The 25,405-nt window shown below is 44.3% G+C and overlaps 2 long non-coding RNA genes and 1 pseudogene across 3 annotated transcripts, besides 7 other annotated features; 2 read left to right on the top strand and 1 right to left on the bottom strand.

The window, feature by feature from the left end:
• Nucleotides 2,399-3,266: an enhancer, noted in NCBI's record as "H3K4me1 hESC enhancer chr6:166671913-166672780 (GRCh37/hg19 assembly coordinates)". NCBI's record gives its function as "activates a minimal SCP1, AML or CMV promoter by ChIP-STARR-seq in naive H9 embryonic stem cells {active_cell/tissue: H9 hESC(naive)}" and the evidence as "EXISTENCE:reporter gene assay evidence [ECO:0000049][PMID:30033119]".
• Nucleotides 2,399-3,678: a biological region, named in NCBI's record as "CDK7 strongly-dependent group 2 enhancer GRCh37_chr6:166671501-166672700".
• Nucleotides 2,479-3,678: an enhancer, noted in NCBI's record as "CDK7 strongly-dependent group 2 enhancer chr6:166671501-166672700 (GRCh37/hg19 assembly coordinates)". NCBI's record gives its function as "activates an origin of replication core promoter dependent on BRD2, BRD4, P300/CBP, MED14 and CDK7 cofactors, with strong dependence on CDK7, by STARR-seq in HCT116 cells {active_cell/tissue: HCT116}" and the evidence as "EXISTENCE:reporter gene assay evidence [ECO:0000049][PMID:35650434]".
• Nucleotides 2,660-7,005, top strand: LOC107986668 (uncharacterized). Of its 2 annotated transcripts, XR_001744462.2 has the most exons (3): nucleotides 2,660-3,988; nucleotides 5,743-5,835; nucleotides 6,646-7,005. It is a non-coding gene; the product is annotated as an uncharacterized LOC107986668 (long non-coding RNA). The 2 variants fall into 2 exon arrangements; XR_001744463.3 differs by lacking the exon at nucleotides 5,743-5,835.
• On the bottom strand, nucleotides 4,744-24,722 carry LOC101929297 (uncharacterized). The gene is made up of 5 exons (NR_125862.1): nucleotides 24,651-24,722; nucleotides 17,763-18,889; nucleotides 7,186-7,274; nucleotides 6,667-6,719; nucleotides 4,744-4,950 (listed from the first exon to the last, which is right to left on the bottom strand). It is a non-coding gene; the product is annotated as an uncharacterized LOC101929297 (long non-coding RNA).
• Nucleotides 7,162-7,819: an enhancer, noted in NCBI's record as "H3K27ac-H3K4me1 hESC enhancer chr6:166667360-166668017 (GRCh37/hg19 assembly coordinates)". NCBI's record gives its function as "activates a minimal SCP1, AML or CMV promoter by ChIP-STARR-seq in naive and primed H9 embryonic stem cells {active_cell/tissue: H9 hESC(naive and primed)}" and the evidence as "EXISTENCE:reporter gene assay evidence [ECO:0000049][PMID:30033119]".
• Nucleotides 7,820-8,478: an enhancer, noted in NCBI's record as "H3K27ac-H3K4me1 hESC enhancer chr6:166666701-166667359 (GRCh37/hg19 assembly coordinates)". NCBI's record gives its function as "activates a minimal SCP1, AML or CMV promoter by ChIP-STARR-seq in naive H9 embryonic stem cells {active_cell/tissue: H9 hESC(naive)}" and the evidence as "EXISTENCE:reporter gene assay evidence [ECO:0000049][PMID:30033119]".
• Nucleotides 8,176-8,470: a silencer, noted in NCBI's record as "tiled region #12026; HepG2 Repressive non-DNase unmatched - State 10:DNaseD". NCBI's record gives its function as "represses a minimal TATA promoter and a strong SV40 promoter by Sharpr-MPRA in HepG2 cells {active_cell/tissue: HepG2}" and the evidence as "EXISTENCE:reporter gene assay evidence [ECO:0000049][PMID:27701403]".
• Nucleotides 19,857-20,356: an enhancer, noted in NCBI's record as "H3K4me1 hESC enhancer chr6:166654823-166655322 (GRCh37/hg19 assembly coordinates)". NCBI's record gives its function as "activates a minimal SCP1, AML or CMV promoter by ChIP-STARR-seq in naive H9 embryonic stem cells {active_cell/tissue: H9 hESC(naive)}" and the evidence as "EXISTENCE:reporter gene assay evidence [ECO:0000049][PMID:30033119]".
• GNG5P1 (G protein subunit gamma 5 pseudogene 1) lies at nucleotides 21,134-21,763 on the top strand (annotated as a pseudogene).
• Nucleotides 24,723-25,405: the final 683 nt, after the last annotated feature.

Here is a 25,405-nt window from a genome sequence, read left to right as displayed (position 1 = left end):
GCCTGGCTAATTTTTTTTGTATTTTTAGTAGAGACGGGGTTTCACCATGTTAGCCAGGATGGTCTCGATCTCCTGATCTCGTGATCAGCCCGCTTCGTCCTCCCAAAGTGCTGGGATTACAGGCGTGAACCACCGTGCCTGGCAGTACTAACGCTATTGATAACAGCCAAGTTAGCAATAACTCAAATGTGCAACCATTGAGAAATGCATGTATCACACTGCGTTATGCTTATCTTTTCACATAATGTATGTCTCCTGGCTAGATGAAAGTTTGGGGTTAGGAACCTTATCTCAGTTATTTTTATTTCCTTGGCATTTGATAGAATCTGGCACATAAACACTCAATCAATGTTTACCAAGAGGAAATTAGCTGAATTGAAGTAGGTAATTGGGTGTAACAAAGTTACCATAATTATGTAAATTATTATGTGCTACATGGAAATATATACACAATATAATTAAAAAATCAAAACACCAAACAAAATGTGTGCAGCAATTCCAACTAGGTAAATTATAGATGTCTATCATGAGAGAAAGCATCATTTGTAATAATGGTAAGACAAGTCTGGTTGGAATCACAGTGAGACCTTGTTCTAGTTTTTTAACAAGCCTCAGTTTGTTCACCTGCGTAATTAAATATCTACTTTGCAAGGCTGTGGTGACTATATATTCAGTTAAACCCACATGGAGTATAGAACAGAGTTTGGCTTATAATGTGTAAAGCAGATAATTGTTAAGTAATAATGAAATAGATGTTCTAAAGAAAATAGAACCCAGCATGGAGCCTGGCACTCGGTAGGTGCTCAATAAATAGAAATCACTTTTGTTATTTTTAGAAATAGAGGGGGACATAGTGATGTTCAGAGTTAATGAGTTAGTCTAAAAGTGTATTTGTGTAAAATCAACTATAATAATACATGGTAAAAACAAACAAGTCAGAGAAGGAGGGAAGTAGGATACATTTTTGAAACTGTCAAACAAAAAAATGTTTTAAAATGTATTTTTAAATCCTGCTACCCACATGTCTTAGTCCAGTTTGTGCTGCTATAAGAGAACACCTGAGACTGAGTAACTTACAAAGGCCAGGTATTTATTTCTCACAGTTCTGGGGCCTGATCAAGGCCCTGGCAGCTCAGGCCTAGCCTCACTGCTTCCAATATGACACCTTAGATGCCGCATCCTCCAGAGGGGAGGAACGCCATGTCCTCACATGGCAGAAAAGCAGGAGAGAGAGAGAGAGAGCAAGAGAGAACACCCACTCCCACTGGCCCTTTTTATAGGGGCATTGAACCATCATGAGGGCACAGCTCTCATAACCTAAACACCTCCCACGAGGCCCTACCTCCCAACACTTTTGCACGGGCAACTAAGTTTCTAATTCATGAATTCTGAGGGGCACATTCAGACCTTGGTACCAGGCAACCCGACCATCCAGCCTGTCTCATTGCCCTAAACTTTAGGTTTGCTGAAGTTTTACTTTTAGATTTCTAGAGTAGAAAGGGACCTTATAAATTGCTGCTGCTTATTTCATTTATACCTATTGCTTGAAAGAATTTGATGTGGCTTATAGTAAACACACACACACACAATCACACCTTTCTTTTTTTTTAAGAAAAGCAAATATAATTGAATGTTTAGGACAGAATATCAAATTATAGCTCATTCAGCAAATGTTCGCATCCTTAGCATGGTCAATCTTCATTTGTATTAGGATACAAACGTCACAATAGCCAGTGTGCATACAGCACTTGCTATGGGGCAGGCACTGTTGTAAGCACTTTGTGGGGATCAATTCAACTGGCCAGCACCCCGCTGTGGGATGGGTTCTATTGTTGTCGTTTCCAGTGTGCAGATGAGAAAAAGGAAGCACAAGAAGCTCATGTGACCTCTGCTGGGAGGCAGCAGGGCTGCCAGCTGAGCCCTATGGTCTGGTTAGAGGCCACATTCTGAAACATCACAAGTTCTAAAATGCTGAGGGGACTTTCTCAGAAAGTTCAACCGAGTTAAGGACAGAGACACATCAACAAGCATACTGTCTAAAACGTGCTGGGTGCGAAAGACACATGAACAAGCTTACTGTCTAAAACGTGCTGGGTGCGAAAGCAGCAATGTATCCGTGACCTTTTGGTGGAAATGAAGATGACGCTGCAAGACACTGGGCGGATGGGAGGCCGGGTGCTTTGCTCTCCGGGACCCTAAGTTGATAAAGAACCAAGTTTCAGGTTGGGCGCGGGAGCTCACGCTTGTAATCCCAGCACTTTGGGAGGCCAAGGCGGGTGGATCACCTGAGGTCAGGAGTTTTGAGACCAGCCTGGCCAACATGGAGAAATCCTGTCTGTACTGAAAATATAAAAATTAGCCGGGCGTGGTGCTGGGCGCCTGTAGTCTTAGTTACTAGGGAGGCTGAGGCAGAAGAATTGCTTGAACCTGGGAGGCAGAGGTTGCATGAGCCAAGATCTTGCCACTAGATTCCAGCCTGGGTGACAGAGCGAGGCTCTGTCTCAATTAAAAAAAAAAAAAAAGTTTCGAAAGCTTGGAGGAAGAAACAGCCACTTTAGTTTCCTGTCTTAGTCACCTCGGGCGGCTGCGACATGTGACCGCAAACTGGGCAGAGGACAGCCACAGAAGTTTATGTCTCACGGTTTGGGTCCAGACGTCCAGAATTGAGGCGTCGGCCTCTCCAGATAGCAAGAGATGGTGCTGTCAAGACAGTGTAAGCCCAGGAGCCCAGGTGGCTGGGCTGTGTCTGCACAGCCTTTGGATAAGGCCTCAGAAAGATCATAGCCTCAGCATTCTGCCCCACCAAGGGTGCCTTAGAGAGGTCAGGGCTGAGCCTCATGGATCGAACCAGGGAGCCCCTGAGGAGCCGAAGGGCGTTGACTCCGAGTCACCTCGGCAGGACTCAAAGATAGAAAAGGCTTGCCTCAAAAACATCGGCAGGTGAGGCCTTCGGCTCATGGAGTAGACCCAGGTGAAATCCATGAGAGACAAAGATTTTGAGGAAATCACTTTCACAGAAACACTGCCAGCCTGGGTGGGAAGGAACAGAGAGAGCACAGGATGAAAGGAGGCTGCCAGACTCCCCAGATTTTGCTGGCTGGAAGTAGGCTAAAAAGCTCCTCAGCTGCAAACATGGGCAACCTTTCCTTCCAAACAAGTGCAGTGTAGATGCGGGGACCAAGAGCCCAGACAGGGAATCCAGAAGCCAGGAGAATTCTCCCCAGCCCTGGAAACCTGACTGAGAACTCCCAACCTTTACTTTTCTGGATTTGGAATTGCTACACAGTCAAGATGCCTTTTATCTGCCATTTCCTCCCCTTGAAAACTGAAATGTCTACAGCTGCATCTGGTGCCTGCTCCACCACGGGACAGGTCACTAATCTCTTTAGCTTCCCGGGCCCATCCATGGAGAGGAATTGTGTCCCAGAACCTGAACCGAATGATTGCACCATGACCCTCCACTGACCTTTGACCTGATTTAGATGTTGACATTTCAGGCTTTGAGCTGATGCCATGAAGCTCCGAAAATCTTAGGTACCTAGAGCAGGTGAATGACTTTTGCACATGCGAGGGAGGCAGGGGGGCGTGTGGCAGACTCCCAGGTGCCTCCAGGTGTAACTGCCTTTTATGTAGTCATCTCCCCTGAGTCACAGAGAAGGACTGGTGACTGACTTCTAACCAACGGCTACAGCAAAGGTGATGGGATGTCACTCTGGGGATGACTCACATCACACAGGACTGTCTTTTGGGGAGACTCGCTGTCTCCCTCACTGGCTCTGAAGAAGCCAGCAGCTGCCACAGATCCTACAACTGAAAGGAGCTGAGTGTTACCAAACACATGCGAGCAGGGGCATGCACGCTCCCCCAGTCAGACTCCGCATGAGAACCCACCCTGGACATAACCTGGCGACCGCCTTGTGAGACCCCAGCAGGAGAGCCGGCAAGTCTGTCGCTGGACTCCCGACTCACGGATTCGTTGAGATAATAGGTGTGTGTTGTGTTACATTGCTGCAGTGGGGGAATTTCTACACAGCAATAGATAACTAATGCATGCAATTTATTCCTTTAACATAAGTAAAGAGTGTGATGCCAGTTAAGTAAAGATTTTAGTGGCCACACAATTATTGGTTTGCATCATTTTTATTAATTTGGGCATATCTGTATTAGTCAATTTCTGTACTGCTATAAGGAACTACCCGAGACTGAATAATTTATAAAGGAAAGGGGTTTAATTGGCTCACAGTATAGCATGGCTGGGGAGGCCTCAGGAAACTTACAATCATGGTGGAAGGGGAAGCAAGGCACCTTCTTCACAAGGTGGCAGGAAGGAGAAGTACCCATTGAAGGGGGGAGAGCCCCTTATAAAACCAACAGATCTCGTGAGAACTCACTATCATGAGAACAGCATGCGGGAAACTCTCCCCATGATTCATTTACCTCCACCTGGTCTCTCCCTTGATATGTGAGGATTATGGGAATTATGGGGATTACAATTTAAGATGAGATTTGGGTGGGGACATAAAGCCTAACCATATCACTATCTTCCTTGTTGTTGTAGAGATGGTGTCTTGCTATGTTGCCCAGGCAGATCTCAAATTGTGGGGCTCAAGTGATCCTCCTGTCTTGGCCTCCCAAACTGTTAGGATTACAAGTGTGGGCCACCACACCCAGCCTGAGCATATCTTTAGAACATTTATAGCCCAGTTCACTAATAAAGAGATAAATGATACGACTTTAACACAATTTTTCATGTAGTAGTAATTTTTCCATATATTTTAGTCCTCAAGTTTTAGTTGTTACAATTTAGTAGATGAAACTTAACATAAAGCTTCATGACTGTAGTTCCAGCTACTCAGGAGGATGAGGTGGGAGGACAGCTTAAGTCCAAGAGCCCAGGAGCCTAGGGGTTCATGGCTGCAGTGAGCTCTGATCGTGACACTGCACTCTAGCCTGGATGACAGAGAGAGACGTGTCTATAAAAAATTTGTTTTAATTAAAAAAATAAGAAAGACTTGTAGGATGCAAAAGTATTACTTATTATGCTTTCATTTTTTACCGTTTGCCAGACAGCTCCCTGCACTTTGCAGACTTTACCTTATTCCCTGAGCAATCCTGGGAGGAAGGTGTTATTACCAAGTCTAATCTACAGTTGAAACAACTGAGGCTTGGAGAATGTAGTAACTTGCCCAAAGGATAGAGCTTGATTTGAGCCCAAGTTAGATTCACCCAAAGCCTATGTCCTTTCCATATATTATGCTATTTATTTACTAAGTTTTTAAGCTTTAGAGGAAAAGATTATTTCCCCTCAGTTTTACTCATTTATTCACTTTCAGCAACACATTTTTAAAATGAAGATCTTTACATCTTTTTAAATTATCATAATTATGTTGAACACGAGACAATATAAAGGCAAGCATTTTCTTTTGTTCTTTCAGCTAATATTTTAGAGTTTATTAGTTAAATGTCATATAAATACAAAACTAATCACTTTTATATTGCTAGTATTTCTAGTTGTTTGCTTCTCTCTCTTCCTTCCTTCCTTTTTTTTTTTTTTTTTTTTTTTTGAGACAGGGTCTCACTCTGTCGCCCAGGTTAGAGCTCAGTGGCATAATCATAGCTCACGCAGTCTCGACCCCCTGAACTCAAAAGATCTTCCCCCTCAGCCTCCCAAGTAGCTGGGACCACAGGCACATGCCACCACATCTGAATAATTTTCTGAATTAAAAAAATTTTTTCTTGTAGAGATGGAGTGTCACAATGTTGCCAAGGCTGGTCTGGAACTCCTGGGCTCAAGTGATCCTCCCGCCTGGGCCTCCAAAAGTGTTGGGATTACAGGTATGAGCCAGCCAGCTACGTTATTTCTTATTGTTTCTATAAATATTTGTGTCACAAAGAACCTTGCATTTTATATTTATTCTGGATAAGAATGAGCTTCAATTAAATTAATGTTTACTGAGCAATTGCATTAATTCAACTTATTAAAGTCAAATTCAACTTTAATAAGTAAATTCAGTTAAATAAGTTAAAACTTTAATAAGTTAAGTTCAACTTTAATAAGTTAATAAGGGGATAAATTAGATGTGAAGACTGGCTCAGATGAGAATGGGAGGTATGAACATTTACACAGTGGATGGTCAGAGAAACACTGAAGTGAATTTGTTCATAGATACCAAACAAGTTAGTGTCCCACAAGATGATAAGCCATAACCTTTAGCATTATCTTTTCTCCTGGACAGAAATCTGCATCTCTAATGGATTAATGTCTGACATGTAACTTCCCATAAGTCCTTAATCTTTAATCAATAGTAAGCGATGAGTCCTACCAAATATATTCACCTATATAGAAAATCCACAGGTGCCTGCTAAACAATGCCTCTATCTGACATCAACAAGAATTGCCATCTATCTTTTTAACTTTTTTCAAGTTTTGGATAATTTGTCATGGTCTAAGAAATATCTCTAAAATAATTTTATATTTATAGATTTCTTTTTGAGTTCATATGGGAAGTATATTCATGTGAAAAAAAAGAGTCAAAATGTGGTGTCTGAATCTGGTATATAGAAGATCTTGTACGCAGATACTATCATTTGTAACAGTTAAGAGTTAAAATTGCCCACAAGAATGAAATTTTCATTGTCTTCCAGTGGTTCTTGACTTTCACTTACCTCTCAGTGAACTGTGAGCCCTGCAGAAATATTGAAGTGTAAAGTCATGGGTCCTGGGGAGAAGAGAGAAGTGGAGAAGAATGGAACTTCTTTTAAGGTTGAGGGTCTGGTACTACACATTCCGGGAAGTCAATGCAAGCAGTTCTCACTCTGGAAAATGCGAAAACCTCCCAAGGTTTCAACATGTTGGTTTAGAACTAAACCAACCAAAAATGTTGGTTTAGAACTAAAAATATTGGCTCAAAACCAAAAAAGTTTGTTTAGAATTAAAAATAATGGCCACTATATTGAATGCATGTGTTTTTCAGATTCCAGTTTAATTAAAATCAGTGAGACAGAGTGGTTTTATCATTGAACCTTAATCAAATTATTCTGACTCAATGTTCAGCGCACAACACTTGAAATATATCAATGAAGACACATTTGAATTAATTTTCACTGGGAAAGACAAACTGATAGAAACATAAAGGCACAAAAAACTAAACACACACACACACACACACCCCAGAAGAAAGTCACCTTAATGGGAAAACATCCATGCTTCACTACAATTCCCTTTAGCGTTAAAGTGATCTGTAGTCCTCTCTTCTTAAATTTTATCCTTGTACCTATGACGATATATTTATGATTAAATATAGTCTCTTTCTACAAAGGGAACTTATCACATATAAGTAAATCATAAAGAAACAATTCTCAGGTCTCGGATAATGCTTAGCAAATACTCGTTTGCACAAACAGCTAGTGCAGACGTTCTAAGTTTTACTTTTAAAGCACTTTGCCACTTGCTTCCTAAAATGTTTAAGATAAACACGCATAAAAGGCCCAGTCCTGTTGGAAGTTCCTTTACATGGTTCCCTAAGTTCCGGAGCGCATCTCTGTGTGTGGTCTGCTGGGAAACCCCGGGAGGAAGGAACCTGTGGGGTTCCCAAGGCCCTCGGGACCCGGAACAGGACTGGCCCTCTCTGGGTAGGCGGGGCTGGCTTGGGGGCGACGCTGCCAGGAGCGCGCGGGGCCGCGTAGGCGCCCGGGGAGACGCACTTGCCCCAGGCGGCAGCCGTGGGAGCCCGAATCCACACCCCGGAGGATGAACTGTCGTTTGCAGAGTTAAAACGAGCTGTCAGGTGTCTTCAGAAGTTTAGACGGGAAAAGGCAAAGAGTTAATCCTTGCTGGACAAACCACTGCTGCTTCCAGAAAAAACCACCTGAGAACGGTTTAAAATGGGAGGGGGCGCTTTCCTAGGAAGCGGATTCAGAAAAACAAATACAACTCAATAGATTACAGTAAAATAAAATTGGAGGGCGCCAAAGGAACATTTGGTTATTCAAAAAGCTTGTTTTTTAATGAGAAACGACTTCAAAGGCGCCTTGGAAAGTGGGTGGGACGCGCACATCTCAGCCGTCACAAGGCAGGTGGGGCCCCCCGGGCGGAGACCCCGGAGGGCCTTTGCCTGGGAGCTACCCCCGTCCCCAGCCAGGAAAGAGCAGAGGGCGAGACCACGGGTCCCAGCGTCTGCTCCCCTCACCGGAGCTTTCTCCCTGGGGTGGCGGCCGCCGGGCTCCAGGCGACACAGCCAGTCGCAGGGAAAGGCGCCGCTGCTCCGTGTCCGCGCGGGCGTGGCGGCCCCGCTGCGCGCTCATTAGCGCCCGCTCCGCCCAGTGGCTTCCCGCGGCTGCGTGTTTACTTGTCATTTTCTGGCGGCTTTGTTTCCCACCCAGCTCCTGAGCCCGGGCTGGCCGCACTTTCTCGTTCTGGTTTTCTTTTTCTTTCCTCTTCTTTTTTTTTCGAGACAGGTTCTCAGTCTGTCGCCCGGGGCTGGAGCGCAGTGGCGCAATCCTAGCTCACTGCAGCCTCGACCTTCCGAACTCAAGCGATCCTCCTGCTTCAGCCTCCCCAGTAGCTGGGACTACAGATGTGAGCCACTGCGCCAGCCTAATTAAAATTTTTTTTTTTTTTTTTTTTTTTTTTTTTTTGTAGAGACGGGGTTTCGCCGTCATGCTCAGGCTGGTCTCGAACTCCTGGCCTCAAGCGACTCTCCCGCCTCGGCCTCCCAAAGCGCTGGGGTTCCAGGCCTGAGCCACGGCGTCCGGCTCTCTCCTTGCTGTTAGGCCGTTCCAGGTCTGGCCCAGCCTCCCAGTGCGGAGCCCCCAGCCAGTGTGCCGTGCTTGCGTCCTCCTGGTGGGACGGGTGGTCGTGGCCCAGACACCCCCGGACAGTCGCTGTAGCCGCCCCCATGGTCTAGGGGTCACCCTGTCACCAGGACGACCCCAGAACTGGGAGCCCGGGCCCCCTAGCCTTTGCTCCGGGAGGCCCCTTGCCCAAGGGGCGGCGGGAACAATACCTGCCCCTTCAGCCTCTCAGGACTTTGGAAATCCTACCACCCGAACACCGTGTCCCCGAGCTCGCTGCACCTCCCGGGGGTCCGATCGGATTGACGCTGAAGCTCAGGAAAACCTCCGTTTCATTTTATTTTGTTTGGGGAAGAGCCCTGCGAACGGCCCTGGGGTGCTGAAGGCTCTTCCTACAGAGGGAGGTGGCATGGACCCACCTCGGAGGCGCGGCCTCCCTGGGTCACAGCGATGAGGCCCTGCTGTAGAAATTAGACTGAGGCCGGGCGCGGTGGCTCCAGCCTGTAATCTCAGCACTTTGGGAGGCCGAGGAGGGCGGAACACGAGATCAGGAGATCGAGACCATCCTGGCTAACACGGTGAAACCACGTCTCTACTAAAAAAAAATACAAAACATTAGCCTGGCGTGGTGGCGGGCGCCTGTAGTCCCAGCTACTCGGGAGGCTGAGGCAGGAGAATAGCGTGAACCCGGGAGGCGGAGCTTGCAGTGAGCCGAGATCGCACCACTGCACTCCAGCCTGGGCCACAGAGCGAGACTCCGTCTCAAAAAAAAAAAAAAAAAAAAAAGAAAGAAAGAAAAGAAATTAGACTGAAAAAAAGTCTGATTTCTGCTGATGACGCTACATTTTCATCATCTAAAAAATGTCCCTCTATCTTTATAGAATCCTGTGCATCCCTGATTCTATTCTTCCCCAAAGGAAAATGGCCAGCGTGACCCTCACCTTATAAACCCTCGGGTAAATTAGAGGGCGCCTCTAGGCTCACTGTTCTGAGAAAGCTCTCCAGCTATCAGGCAGCCTTGTCAGTCACGTGCGCTCCATTGCCTAGGAGATGAAATTATATTGAAAAGCATTCATGTCTGTTTTCCACGAAACTGGCAAATACATGGTTTATTATCATAAGCAGCATATTCCCATATGACAATTGGTGTGTATAGTGTAAGAATGTTCTAGAGTCTCCATGCCAAAGGAAGGTAAAATTAGAAATTGAATTTTAAGGGAAAGGTATGTTTGTCTACTTCCTCTCAATGTCCTCAAACCTTTTCTTCCCCCTCTATAAAGCCCCCATTCTCTCTTCTATCATCCTCCCTCCCACCAAGAATTCCCCTTATATTAACTCCCAGGTATGACTACTTAGCTTAAAAAGAAGAAGAAAAACGGTCTGTCTGACTTAATTGTTCCCTTTAATTTTTAAAATATATATGAACCCTTAGAAACTTTCAAAGTTGTGGTTTACTTTTTTGGTGTCAATTACTGTTGAAAATAACTGTTTCCTGACTAGCTAGCTGCAAGTTACCCAGCTGTTACACTCCGCTGGTTTGAAAGATTTTAAATTTTAAATCACACACACACACACACACACACACACACCCATTCTCTTTGAAAATAAGAGTATAGGGTTGCAAAATGAATTGACCAAATGTGCAATCTCGAAAAATATGATTGACTATGAAGATTTATGGAAGCTGATTCAAAAGGAAGCTTGTGGAACAGAAATCAGAGAAAAGCTCCAGAATACAAAATTTAGAAGTCTGTATATTTCCCATTTTTTTATTGTGGGTTTTTATAAATGTTTTAACTTTTTAGCAATTAGTTCTGGGAAGTGATATCATCTGTCTTACATTTGGGTTAAGATTATAGAACAGCTCTTTTATAAAGACTGTAAAACTGGGTTGATTTTTAATATTTTGGTTTTTAATAAAATAAGCACTGAAAAATAGTGCTTATATGTTAGATATTTTCCTTTAGTGTCCCCAAATCAATGATAACTATAATCACTAAGAATTACAGTTCAGAGTGAGAAAAAACTACACATTTTTTTTCCTCAGGGAGTTACGAGCTCGGGCTGTCTTTCTCACCAAAGTGAATAAATTCATTTCAATAAATGTTGAATATTTACCTTTTGCTAAGAACTGTGCACAAATATATATGCTATATGGCCAAAAGAAAAAAAAAAAACCCCAGCATTCTCCAAAAGTCTTCTAGTATTTGAGAACATGAGATTTTAAAGTAAGGCTGCAAGGAATTTTGGAACTTAAACTCACTCTATCAAGTCACATAACAACTGACAAAGTCACACAGTGGTTTTGTCTCAACAGAATCATTTACTTTTACGGTAGCATAGTTTTAAAATTATTAGTAAATTATTAAATTATTTTTTAAGTGTGAGATACCTATAGTTTGACAGTCAATGAAACTCAGACCAACTCCATTTAATAGAATGAATGAATCGTTCTCTCATTGAGTGGCTTGTGGAGTTTTGGATAAATTGATATTTCAGGTGACTCACATAGGAATTCTGTGGAGTTTGATAAATACACGCTCCCTTCTCTGAGGTTTGTAGTATTCTATGATAAAATCGTCTTAGATTCTTGTATAAATGTTTATTAAATGTTGACTCTGGCCAGGCACAAAGCTAAGCCATGTCGGTGCAGAGGTGAACACAGTAAGCTGATTTCACACCTTTTTCTCTTTGCAAAATGCTGGGGCAGAGTACTTGTAGGTAGCACAATCTTCACTCCTTATGCATTCATGTTAATTTCCTGAACAAATATTCTGGGCTCACTTCTTGAAGATTCACTGCTCTTAAGTTCTGGCCTTTCCAGGCCATATTATCTTTCATGCTACTCCACATATTGGTAAAGTGCTGCTGTCATAAAATTCCTAAAGAGGCTGGGCGTGGTGGCTCACGCCTGTAATCCCAGCACTTTGGGAGGCCAAGGCGGGTGGATCACGAGGTCAGGAGTTCAAGACCAGCCTGGCCAAGATGGTGAAACCCCATCTCTAGTAAAAATGCAAAAATTAGCCTGGCGTGGTGGCGGGCGCCTGTAGTCCCAGCTACTCAGGAGGCTGAGGCAGAGAATAGCTTGAACCCGGGAGGCGGAGGTTGCAGTGAGCCGAGATTGCACCACTGTACTCCAGCCTTGGCGACAGAGCAAGACTGTCTCAAAAAAAAAAAAAAAAAAAAAAATCCTTAAGAAATTTTATTCAAACTTGAAAATTTCTTAAATAACTTATGACATGAACTGCTAACTTCCTGAGAAGATGTAAATATTTAAACATTGTTAGTAGGGGCTGGGCGAGGTGACTCAAGCCTGTAATCTCAGCACTTTGGGTGGCCGAGAAGGGTGGATCACCTGAGGTCAGGAGTTTGAGACCAGCCTGGCCAACATGGTGAAACCTCATCTCTACTAAAAATACAAAAAATTAGCCGGGCATGGTGGCGGGTGCCTGTAATCTCAGTTACTCCGAGGCTGAGGCAGGAGAATGGCTTGAACCCGGGAGGCAGAGGTTGCAGTGAGTCGAGATTGCGCCATTGCACTCCAGCCCGGGCAACAAGAGCGACACTCCGTCTCAAAAAAACAAAAAAAACCCCCAAAAACATTGTTAGTAGAATGACTTCATGCATTCCATTGTGAGCTGCCTGTTTATGTGTGTGAACAGGACTCAGATCCGTGAGCACTCCCAGGCTGTGAATCTTTTTGAATGGACACAGAAAGCTAGGACCTCGGAACAAAGGTTTTAAATTAGAAACAGAAGGCAGCGAACAAAAAACTTTTCTCACTACTGAAATCCTGTATCAGTGAAGGTAAAAAAGAAAATTCTGTTGTGAGTTTAGAAGTGTATTTGTCTTTAACATATTGCTCTCAGCCATTAGGAATTGTTTTATGTTTTATGGAAGACCCGCGTGAAGGCCGGGCACGGTGGCTCACGCCTGTAATCCCAGCACTTTGGGAGGCCAAGGCGGGCGGATCACGAGGTCAGGAGATCGAGACCATCCTGGCTAACACGGTGAAACCCTGTCTCTACAAAAAAATACAAAAAATTAGCCAGGCGTCATGGCGGGCGCCTGTAGTCCCAGCTACTCGGGAGGCAGGAGAATGGCATGACCCCGGGAGGCGGAGCTTGCAGTGAGCCGAGATCGTGCCACTGCACTCCAGCCTGGGCGACAGAGCGAGACTCCGTCTCAAAAAAAAAAAAAGAAGACTTGTGTGAAGAAGGCGTCCTGATTGCAACTGGACATCTCAATGGGCATTTGGTAATTAAAGGTCTGCTATAGTCATGGGACTAGACTTAGGAAGGAATCTTAGCATGGAGAGAGAGCAACCTGTCCATAAATATTCACAAAAGGACAATGGTACCATTTTCTAGAAAATACTGGATTTTGATCTAAATAGGTGTCTACAAATATTATTTACTATAATTATGGAATGTATAAATTGTATATAAAAACATGTCTTTATGTCTTTATCAACATAAAAAAGTTAATTTTCTCTAGAATTCTAAGAATGAATAACACATCAATAAAATTTTTTACATGATGATAAATTTAAAGAGTTTTCCAGATGTATATCTTTATATATATGCATATAAAAATGTTATTGAATATTGAAATATCAAAATAAATCTTGCATAGTTGAAAGGACTATACATTTCTAGTTTTACACCAAAGGAAGAATTTATTGTTTAACTATTAAAGCTTTATCCTTAATATTAAGCAGTATATCTCATTGTGAATTTATATTCTTTTTTATTTACAGGCTAATGAAAATTTATAATATCAAATGCAATGTTCTACTACCACATGAGCAAATCGGCCTTCTTGATGGTGCTAAAATATCTCTTTGCAATGTCTAATCCTGGACCCTGGCTTTTGGCTGCTCCTAGGAGAAGGAAACCAGGCCCGTGGTACACACTGATAAGGACAGTGGGCTCCCCCAGGAAAAGCAGATGAGATTTCTCGTATAGATGACAAATGCGTTATCTAACATTATATTTTCATTTCTCTTAGGGAATATTTTTGTATGTCTACTGTGTTTCCATCTTTTTCATCACTTAGCATTAAAATATTCATTCAGTAAAGTGATTGGTGTAACCGGCATTTAAAAATTCTAATTGCATGCAAAGTAATATTTTGCATCATCCACATAGTTTCATTTCAAAGATGTACAAAAAGATAGGCATGATTCCTGCCTTAGAAGAGAATGTGGTCCGGGCGCGGTGGCTCACGCCTGTAATCCCAGCACTTTGGGAGGACGAGGTGGGAGGATCACGAGGTCAGGAGATTGAGACCATCCTGGCTAACACGGTGAAACCCCGTCTCTACTTAAAAAATACAAAAAATTAGCCGGGCATGGTGGCGGGCGCCTGTAGTCCCAGCTACTCGGGAGGCTGACGCAAGAGAATGGCATGAACCCGGGAGGCGGAGCTTGCAGTGAGCGGAGATGGCTCCACTGCACTCCAGCCTGGGCGACAGAGTGAGACTCCGTCAAAAATAAAAAATAAAAAATAAGAATGTGGTGTGACAGTCTCAATTTGCTAGACAGGGTGGTATTTGGGGGGGGCCAGTCTGTCCGATGGTTGAACATGGCTGAAAGTTTCATTTACAAATGTGCAGCGTTCTCTAGAGAGAAGACAAAATGCTGTCGTGACTTTAGAGGCAGAAGTTCCAGTTAACACTTTTGAATCAAAATAAATCTTACATATTAAGCTAGGAAAGGTGGTTTTCTCCAATAGTGTTAGAAATACGAAGCTTTTGAAAGAAATCATCTTTATTATCTCTGTAAAAATCAAAGACTTTAAAGCATTTTTGGTGTGGTTTTTGGTTACCCCTCTGTATTCAAAGAACTGAAATCAGTTTATTTGTCCATAGGTATATACATAGCTATAAAAGTATTTAGTGCTAGCAAGAATGGGATAGATTTTGGTGGACAACTTACGGAATTTCATGAAGGTTTCAAAACAAGGATGAAAAATGTAGTCCTTTTTAAGAATGAAAGCTCAGCTGGATGGTAAAGCTCTAGAAGCTGTCCCATAGTAAAGACTAAAGCAGGTGTATCTGAGCCTGGAAAGAAAGGTCCAAGGGGAGGTGTAAGTAGCCTGAAATACCTGGGGTTTGCATGTGGATTTTATACTTATTTCATGTTTTATTGACTATTCTGCTGTGGACTGCACTGTGTCCTTCTCATCCCCAAAATTTCTATGTCGAAGACCTAATCTTCAATGTGGTGGTATTTGGAGGTCACCTTTGGGCAGTGACAAGGTTCAATGAGATCATGAGGGAGGCCTTACAGGGGACTGATGTTCTCTGCTGTCTGCCAGCCAGGAGGAGGCCCTCGCCAGAACTCAACCATGCTGACATCCTGATCTTGGACTTCCAGCCTCCAGAGCTGTGAGAAAATAAATTTCTGTTGTTTAAGCCATCCAGCATGTGAAATTGTGTTACAGTAGCCTGAGCTAAGGCAAGAAATATTCCAATAAATATATTTCGTATTTATTCTAGGTAGCATCAGAGACCAGAAATAAGGCCAATGGGAATAATTTACAAAGAAGTTAAAGTTCAGTTCAATACGAGGGAAATTTTATTTTAAATTTTTTTTGAGGCAGCGTCTCACTCTGTCACCCAGGCTGGAGTGCAGTGGCACAATCTTGGCTCACTGCAACCTCCCCCTTCTGGGTTCCAGCAATTCTCCCACCTCAGCCTCCCCAGTAGTTGGGATTACAGGTGTGCGCCACCACGCCTGGCTAATTTTTGTATTTCTAGTAGAGACGAGGTTTCACCATGTTGAGCAGGCTGGTCTCGAACTTCTGACCTCAAGTGATCCACCTGCCTCGGCTTCCCAAAGTGCTGGGATTACAGTCGTGAGCCACCGTGCCCAGCACTAGGGAGATGTTTTAAAAAGGGACTCAAGGTGTATCCTGGGTCCAGGCTGAGCCCTGGTAGCTTGGATGTGTGTAACCCTAAACTGGAGGCTCCCTCCTCTCCCCCCATAAAAGGATTTTGGTCTTGTGACGAAGGTTCACCTAGGAGGGCTGTAATGTTTCTTCCAATTCAGAATGTGTAATAATCTAGAGAGAAAAAGCAGCTAGAAAAATAAAACCACACAATGTGAGAAATAAGCACACTACGTAGAAAACCCCCTATTCAGAAGATGACTGGAATGTTATCTGAGTCCCTAAACCAGAAGCCGCTATGTGAGTGTAAGTGCTTGTTAATGTGTAATGCTACAGTTTTCAGTGTTATAGTTTTTATGGGATGTTCACATGATTTTATATTTAAAAAGCCCACAGCCAAATTTAAATAAGACTTATTTTACAGGGATCAATCTGTAATACTGTTATGAAAAAAACCGTAGGGAACAAACGAAAAAGACAAAGTATCCTACATAAAACAGTGTAATAAGGAGGAAAGTAGTTCTTACCTCGTGTCAAAGCAACAAGGCAGGGGCTAGGACAATAATCTCTAGGTCCTGTGTGATACACTGAGCCCGGCTAAAGGCAGATGACTAAAATAATAACACCAAGTATTTATCATGTTGTTTCAAGAATTGCTCACGGATTATCTCAGTTCTCACACAAAGCCTGTGAAATACCTACCATTTTTTAGCAAACTCATTTCACAGATGAAATGGAAACAGGACTATCCAGTAACACTCTGGCCCAGGAGAATCCAGTTAGCAGCGTGGATGTCTCCAAACCTAGTTTGTCTCCAAAATGCTCAGACCTGCCTATGTGCTGCACCTCCCACACAGTGAAGAACACAAAATCATACAGGGGCACGTAGAAGCTCTTCTTTGTGACCAGTAACTGTGAGCCCACCCATTCCAGTATCAATACTTATTAATACAATGAAGATGAAGTGACTTTCAAATCTGAAATACCCTTCTGATCATTGCTTTTTGCTACATTCTAAATATTTTCACCAAAAACCTTTCTGTAGAAGGACCCTCAGGTGAATTTGGAAATTGGTTTCACACTCCAGGAGAGCTGGTGCAGCTCACAGCAAACTGTGAGGAAGCCCCGGGCTTTCATGTGGGCCGGCCTCGGGGCAGGCTGTAGGGCTCCCGTGTGGTTTTCCTGCACCAAGCAAACAGATCTTTGGTTCAACCTTGTTAGTCCAGAGCTGACTGAAGGAGGAGATTGTTCACAAAAAGGTGAGGAAAAAATAAAACTGAAATGAGGCAAGACTTTAACATGAAAAGGAAAAGTGCCACTGGAAATTAAATCTAAAATGAATGTAAGGCAATTGCTTTAACAATTTGTCAACAGGCAGGACAATGAAGCGTAGACAGCCCTGCTTTGGAGAAATGACAATGGAGAAAATGAAAGAAAAATAGAAAGTAAGAGCGGAACGGGGCCAGCCCCTCTGAGGTTCACACCTCTATCTGCGGACCCAGTGCGTATAGTTTTACACTTTTTGCCGGTGCAGTTTCATGGTTTCTGTCTAAAACCATGCAGCAGCACAAGGCTGTGGCTTCTGTCACTGATGTGATTGAAGTTAATGTGACTTCAGCCGCTGTCATGAGGTGCTGGATGAAATTTAACCAATAAGCCTTGGATCTGCGGAATTACTTGAACTTCAAAAAGTCCTGGAGAGAATGCCCTTGAGCTGCGGAAGCCAATGCCCTTGAGATGCGGAAGCCGGCTTGGCTTTCGTGGACTGTGAGCAACTTGGCCAGGGCAGCATGGGTCCCACAGGAGTGGCCACGTTTCACCTTCCAGAAACGCATGCATTTCAGTGGCACTGCCAGCGGAAACACGAGATTTGGTTGGGCACAAAAAACTAAACACCTGTCCACTGTGGAAATGACTCCTTCAAAGTCAAATTTTGGGCTCTTTGTTGAACTATATTGGGAGGGCACTTTTGATCACTCTCTAAATACTTATGATTATCTTATTGATACTTCTGTATTGCCAAATAAGGTGTAGGCATGGATCTGCCTTTCCCAGACAGAAGGGTCCTGCTCTTACCTGTTGGGAACTGCTCTGAAAGTCTGGGAGGAGATTGCTGGTATTTTTGCTGTAAAGTGAAGCTTTGCGCTTTCTGCAAGGTGGGTGCAGTTGCGGTCATAGCAGCACCTCTGTGTCTTGGTCTCCACTCACCTGTCTTCGTGGAGAGCACGTGGCCTCACACACAGAGAGACGACACATGGATAATTAGGTACACAGATGTGCTAGTTTGAGAAAATTGGAGGTTTCTTAAGTGTTTTGGGCCATATTATTCACCATAATCAGGGACAATAATCTATCGGTCCTGTGTGATACACTGATCCAGGGTCAGCAGAAGCCCCTGAAACTTGCTAGAAGTGCACATTTCCAGGCCCACCCCAGACCTACTGAACCAGAAACTCCGGGGTTGGGGCCCAGCAGTCTGCTTTTTAACAAGCTCTCAGGGTTATTCCGACGCAGCCTGAAGTTTGAGCACCTTTGCCCTACAGGCACTAGCTCAGCTCAGGGGGTTAAATATCAGGATTTAATTAATTGCTAGGAGTTCCTCCTTTAGGTCTGCTAATAGTAGGCTGTCTGACTTTAAATAATTCACTTGAGGGCTTGTTTCCAAAAGCAGACGGCAGAGCACACCTGCCAGTCAGCTGCGGGGGGACTGGCTTTGAGATGCTTGTTCACAAGTGGAAAACGGTTTGACCTGTCCAGGCACCTAGTGAGCAATGGCCACTGAAAAATTCATCTGAAATTAAGCTGCTCTACTCTGCACTAGGGCTGACCCTGGCTACCTCAGCACCAAATCTAAGCCTGTGGGTTATGAGGTGAAACTGCTCAGGAGCACCTCTTATGGACCCAGTGTGGGGAGGATGAGGGAGGAGACTCATCTTCACGGGTGTGTGAATCACCCTCTTAACTCTTCTGTGTAATACAGGCCCCTGGACTCCTGAATCCTCCATAGGTCTTTTCGGTCTTAAATTCCTTTATTAATAACAACAGTGGCTAATGTTTGGAGGACACTTGGACACCTTGAGGAGGACTTCCGTGGCCTTCTCTGAAGATGCTGTGCTCTACTCCCAATCAGCTGAGACCCATCTTCTTAATCTTTGCAGTGTGTGCTTCAGAACTGGCACCAGACAGGCGCTGCATGAACACTGCTGCAAGAGAGCAAAGGAGAGTGAGGAGAAGAGAAAGAGAAAGGCGGGCAGAAGGGGAGGAAAAAAGGATTGGAAAGGAAAATAAAGCACTTAAACATTTTTTTTCCTTTTTTTGAGACGGAGTCTCACTCTGTTGCCCAGGCTGGAGTGCAGTGGCACAGTCTTGGCTACCTGCAACCTCCATCTCCTGGGCTCAAGCCATTCTCCTGCCTCAGCCTCCTGAGTAGCTGGGATTACAGATGCCCGCCACCACACCCAGCTAATTTTTGTATTTTTAGTAGAGAAGGGGTTTCGCCGTGTCGGCCAGGCTGGTCTCGAACTCCAGACCTCAAGTGATCCGCCCGCCTCAGCCTCCTAAAGTGCTGGGATTACAGGCGTGAGCCACAGCGCCCAGCTAAAAATCATTTTATAAATCATAGAAGAGAAGAAGTTTCTTAAAAGGGGGTTTGTGAGAGGCTCAGGGACCTCTGAGGGCGGTTTTGGGATGAACACAGCATGCTGGATAATTTTACAGACTTGCTCATGTGAAAGCCAGGGTTTGACTGCAGTTTTCCAACTCTTCAAACAGACAAACTCTTTTCAGATATCGAGTGAGCAGAGTGTTGCTGGGCACGTAGGGGGCGCTCAATAAAGATTCCTTGAATGAATGATGGATTCGGGATGAATGACCGATGCTCCCCAGAGAGGCAGGTGGAGTTGCCTGGAAGTGTGCACTGTGGGTCTGGGGCCCCAGAGTTTGACCAAGAGATGTGAGGAGGGGGCAGCAGGGGCTTGCTGGGAGAAGTCTCTCTTCTTCTGACAGCTCCCTCTGACTTGAGCAAACCTGGCCACCTGCCTAAGTAGGAGCAGGGGCCATCCCAGCAGGAGAGCCCAGGACAGTCAGAAATGGGTCTGGCTTTTGGTAGCTGTTCACAGATTGAAGTTCCCAACACACCCACCTAAGGGCCCCTCCCTTCTCGTGCTGAGGCTTCTCTGTGGGCAGAAGGGGCAAGCCCATAGAAATTGTCTCTTGAGCATGGGAGGAAGAAACTGAACCCACTGCCAGTTTTGTAAAAAGAAACAGACCAGTATTCATTTCCAAGAGACTGCTGGATGACTCTGGAAGCATCGCGAAGAGTGGCCTTTCCTTTCTGCCGTGGGAAGCCTCCTTCCTGCCTGCCCTAGGATCTCAGGCCCTGTGCATGGTGCTGTAAGGAATTCCTAATTACCTGTGAGCTCTCAGGTGACAGGTGACACCTCACAGCTCTCAAGAGAACAAGTTGCCTCCTGACTCTGAGGGCTGTGCACCTGCTGACGGTGGGGTCTGAGCCACATTTGTGCCGCTTCTTTCGAGGAAGTTAAGTTGAGCTGTCAAATTGTAAGGCCGGCTTAGTCCGTGGCTCGTCTTTTTTTAATCAGGCCATCTGTCAGCAACTCATGTGGGCCCTCCTTGCAGAGACACGCAGGGAAAGCCATCGATAGGCTCTGCACATTTATTTACGTACATGAACCACACTGCCATACCTGTCTGCACCTCTCTCCCACTCTCCTCCCACTTCTCACCACATCTATGCCTACCCAGGCCCAGGCCAGGCTTGCCTTTTGTCGAATTCACTGTCTCTGCCGCCCCTTCTCCCCAGCACACACCAAGTAGTCTTGTCCTAGGACAAGGGCTGGAGCAATTGCGGGCTTCAGTTGTCTCCTGCTGTGTAACAGCAGGCCCGGAAGCCTGGTGGCGACAAACAGCGCTGTGTATTGAAGGGGTGGCTGGGGCTCAAGGGGAGGGTCTTTTCTCCCAGGGCTCGATCACGGGGCCTCACTCTGCTGTGAGCTGGGTGGACTCCACTATGTCAAAATGGCTTCAGAGGGCCTCTCGCCGCTTCCCTCCCTCCCTCCCCGCCCTTTCACCTTCCTCCCTTTCTCTTTCTCTCTCTCTCCCACTCTCCACCTCCCCACTCTGTCTCTCTCTTTCAGTCTGTGCATCTCCCTCTCTTTCCCTCTATCTTTCTCCGTCTTCCCCTGTCTCTAATCATCTGTCGGTCTGTCCCTCCCCATCCCTCTCTGACTTTCTTCAGTAACAAGGCCCTTAATTTGGAGGGAGGATTCCTTCATTTTTCCTATGGACGGGATATCTACAAATGTTTTCAGTAAGGATGGAAGGAAAAAACAAGCTATGGTAACACTGGGTCTAGGATGCTAGGAATAAGAATTTCTGCCTGCTTTGGAAACGTCCAGCCCATGGTAGGAATGTGAGAATGCTCTCCATTTTCTGGCCCCCTATGACCCACGATCCAGCAACCCACGAATCGGCCCAGACCTCACATGCACCATGTTGGCTTCCTCCAGCGTCGCAGCTATGAAGAAAGTGGTTCAACAGCTCAGGCTGGAGGCTGAACTCAACCGTGTTAAAGTTTCCCAGGCAGCTGCAGACTTTAAACAATTGTCTGCAGAATGCTCAACATGACCCTCTACTGACTGGAATATCTTCAAATACAAATCCTTTCAGACCCAGAAATTCTATTCCTTTTTGTAGTAAAATGAATCTTTCAAAAGTTTCCCAAACTTTTTTTTTTAATTGTACATTTGTGTACAATTAACTTACACCACGTAATTAGCCTCTGTGATACTGAGGTTGTGTATGGGAATGTCTTTTCTCTATGAAGATGAAACTGTTTGTGTGTTATTGGTGTCTTATGATCGAGCGAATATTCAAAAGAGAGCTAAATTTGAAGCCTGTACAAAAGCTGACCCCGTAACACATGTTCCATAATATACAAACTTCTCTTTTCGTCAGTCCTTAACACCTACCTCTCTGAATTTCCATGAATTTCTATTTCACAAGGGTAATTGTTTTATATACACTGGCAGCAGCATACAATAAAACTTAGTCTAAAAAAAAAGAAATGGTAGGAAGATTCTTATATCTGGCCATTCTTCACTTCTTTTCATTTTTCACATCTTTTAAATTTTCATTTTTATTTATTTTTCACAGTTTTGAAGCCTTTAGAGTTTAGCAGTGAAGTTTCGGTCATTCAACTCAATTACACCACGCATTTGTTTTTGGTGGATGGTTAATGCTGAAATCTTCATTTTCCTTAAATGTAAGTGAAAATAATATGTTATTAATCTATTGGGAATCAGAACCTTTTGAACTTCAAAAATGAAAAGACAAAACAATTACAGTTATATTAAATATAACTAATTTGACTTTGCCTAGTTTTGAATGAAACTGAAATTACACATATTGGTTCAACTTTTCTAATACCTTTCTAATCTATTGACAGCCTGTCCCTCCCTATTTTGACAAGTCAGCTGGTCTGAAAGCATACCTAGATACTCAGAAGCAATAAATAATATGGTTTTTGTTTAATTAGTGCTGTTTTACAAATATTGTCAATCACTAATATCCATGTACAAGGAAATTTTCAAGAACCTAAGATAACTTCTCTAAAATTGGTACAAAATAACAGCACCTTTTGGGTAACTATTTTTTGTAGGCATTTGTTATATGCTGAGACTCTAGATAGATACACAGACTATATTTATTCAATTGGCAAAAAGTTGTATCAGTTACTAAATACATATGTGAAAATACATTTTTAATTCCAGACATGTTGAAATGCATAATAATACCTCCAAATAAGAGGTGTTTTATTTTTGTGAATTGCAATGAGGTGCATCCCAGCCAGGATCTGGAAGCTCCCCTATCCTCAGAATGGAGCATTTGATCTTGTTTACACGCCCAGGGGTCCTGCCCAGAACCAATCTTCTGTCTGCCTCAATCAAGAAGAACCTTCGCAGCCACATCTCAGGGGCAGGGACATAGACTCTGCACTGTGGCTTTGAATTCCTAGGGGTATTTATCAACTCGATGATTAAACTGGGACTGAATGTGGTGAAACATAGCTTTCTTTCCTAAGATGTTAATTGTACGTTTGTGTGCAATTAACTTACACCACGTAATTAGCCTCTGTGATACTGAGGTTGTGTATGGAAATGTCTTTTCTCTATGAAGATGAAACTTCTTGTGTATTATTTGTGTCTTCCCTATTAGGAGGGGATATTGTTCTATATGTGAGAGTGTTATTCACACATCACCCGTCCACCCATCCTCCCATCCATCCATCCATTAAAAAACATTCATTTGTGTTTTTACAACAGACACCTAAAGAGATTCTGTGAGAGAGAAACAGATAAGCCAGCTTCTCAAGTGACTAAATTTTGGTAATTTTTAAGCGTCTATTATATGAAAACTTGATTTGAATTTCAGAAGGAGCAGCGGATCAGTTTTTAAATGTGATAATGTGCGTGCATTTGATTTCACTGTTTTTCAACAAAACATTCCGATATGAGAAAGTATCTAAGGAATCAGAAATAAGAGCTAATGAGAACATTTCCATGAAAATACATTCTGTCTGTTTATTTCCTCTCTGGTTGACTACCAGCAATTCTCTGTTTCTATTTTCCTTCATTTCACTGTAGGTGTCCTTCAACATGTGCTAACACTCTTCACTAAATGTACAATAAAGGTTAGAACTATTTCTGCAAAGATGTCCTGCAAGGTAAACAATGCAGCACTCTTTCAGGAGCTCCTACAATTGGACCTTTAAAGAAATTTGTGTAGCCACAAGGTCCCTGAGGGTTTAGGCAAACCCCTGAGAAGAGAGAGGAGAGAGGTGGCCCTCTTCATATTTTCCTTGTGATTTCAGCAGGCGGATCATCAGTTGTTTATAGCTTCCTCTCTTTTTCATTCTATTTTAAAAAGGTGGAAAAGGTCTGATTGGCGTAAAAGATAGACAGAGGTGAGGTTTTCATGAAAAATAGGATTCCCTGGGGAGAGGACAGAACATCATCCCTTTCAGTATGCAGTGACCACATTTCAAGCAAGTTTCTTCTGTCCCTGGAGCTTAAGGGCGTAGATTCCTGGGTGCTTAGACCATAAACAGCCTTCAAGGCACTTAAAAAATCTGCATTTTGTGGGTGTTGGCAAAATGCACTCTTCTCTGGCTTTCTCATCCGCCATCTGTTCTTTGTGTCTGAGCTTCCCTTTGAACATTTGCCTTGGCTTGTAAATACTTCGAGTTACTTCACTTCGGGTTTCAAGTGGATTCCATTTTGCCAAATGCACTTGCGGTTGGTTAGGCAATTCCTAAGACATTTTCATTTCTGTTAACCAGACTTGGCTTTTCTAGGTAAAACACCAAAATGCAGATTTTGTTTTTGTTTTTGAGACAAGAGTCTCACTCTGTCGCCCAGGCTGGAGTGCAGTGGCACCATCTCGACTCACTGCGACCTCTGCCTCCCGGGTTCAAGCGATTCTTCTGCCTCAGCCTCCTGAGTAGCCAAAATGCAGATTTTAGGGAGCTTAAGACTCCCCCAGGACCTGGCGATTCTGATGACTACAAGAGCAGAGGCCACCTTTTCTGTCTCCTTTTGTGATCTCCTCCAAGCCACGCTGCTCTTAGCTCCTACTCTCAAATCTCAGAGAGCCCATGAGAGCCACGTTGGGCCTCCCCTCGCGGAGAGAAGGGCTCTTAAGTGGCCTCCAACCCTGCTTTCCTCCTTCACCTCCTCAGGGTCGAGCCAAGGCGCAGGACCTTGAGGGGTGTCTCCGGTCCCTACCCAGCATTTTCAGGGCCGGCTGCCCTGGGTGCTGGTACCTGAGAAAATTCATTGTTTCAGGGTCTGTGTTTGGAGAAACCCCCGACCCTAGGCTGGCTTGGGCTGCTTGAAGGGACCCCCCTCATGTGCTCCGTCAGTGATGGGGACCCCAGGGTCTCACCGTCCCTGTGGAATCCCCGCCTACGCATTTCCTCCAGGAGTCTTCCCCCAGGGATGGAGGGCCTCATGAGGGTTTTGCCACAACTGTGACTTCCAAAAACAAACTTGCTAAGTCCCTTTGTGACGAGGAAGGAACACGATTTCCTTATTGTGTAAGACAAGCAGAAGTAAGTCTACAATGGTGCTGAGCTGCAGTTAGAAACACGGCGTTCGCCCCTCCTCAGGTGACCTGGCAACTGTCTCTGTGCCGGAGCCCCAGCTTCTCATTTCCAGGCCGCACAGCCTCGTCCCCCTTAGCTGTCTTTCCTTGTTCTCTCTGCCCTGCCATAGCAGCCCCCTCGCACCTCGGAGCCCTGGGCGTGCTTCCAGCCCAGGGCCTTTGCACCTGCGCCCCTTATCTGGAACCCCTTCCCCAGATGCCCCCCGCTAACCTCTCAATTCCTGGGGTCTTTGCAGAAAAGGCTCAGACTGCGTGGCACCTGCAGCTCATCCATGCCACCTCCACACTCTCCCCAGCCTGCAGTGCCTTCTGCTGCCTCACTTTCCTTTCTTAGCACTTATCACCATCTAACGTAATTCACATTTTATTTATTTATCTTCTTTAGTGTTTATTTCTACTTGTATATCCCCAGTCTAGACTAGGTCCTGGCATTTAAGAAACATTTGATGAAGTAATGAAAAGATTAGGGGGTTTTCTAGGGAATCTTAATTTCCTTGGCAATGCTTTTCATTTTATTTTATTACATGCAGTTTCTG

Source organism: Homo sapiens, chromosome 6, assembly GCF_000001405.40.
Source record: "Homo sapiens chromosome 6, GRCh38.p14 Primary Assembly".
NCBI lineage: Eukaryota > Metazoa > Chordata > Mammalia > Primates > Hominidae > Homo > Homo sapiens.
This window is presented reverse-complemented; position numbering and strand designations above follow the sequence as displayed.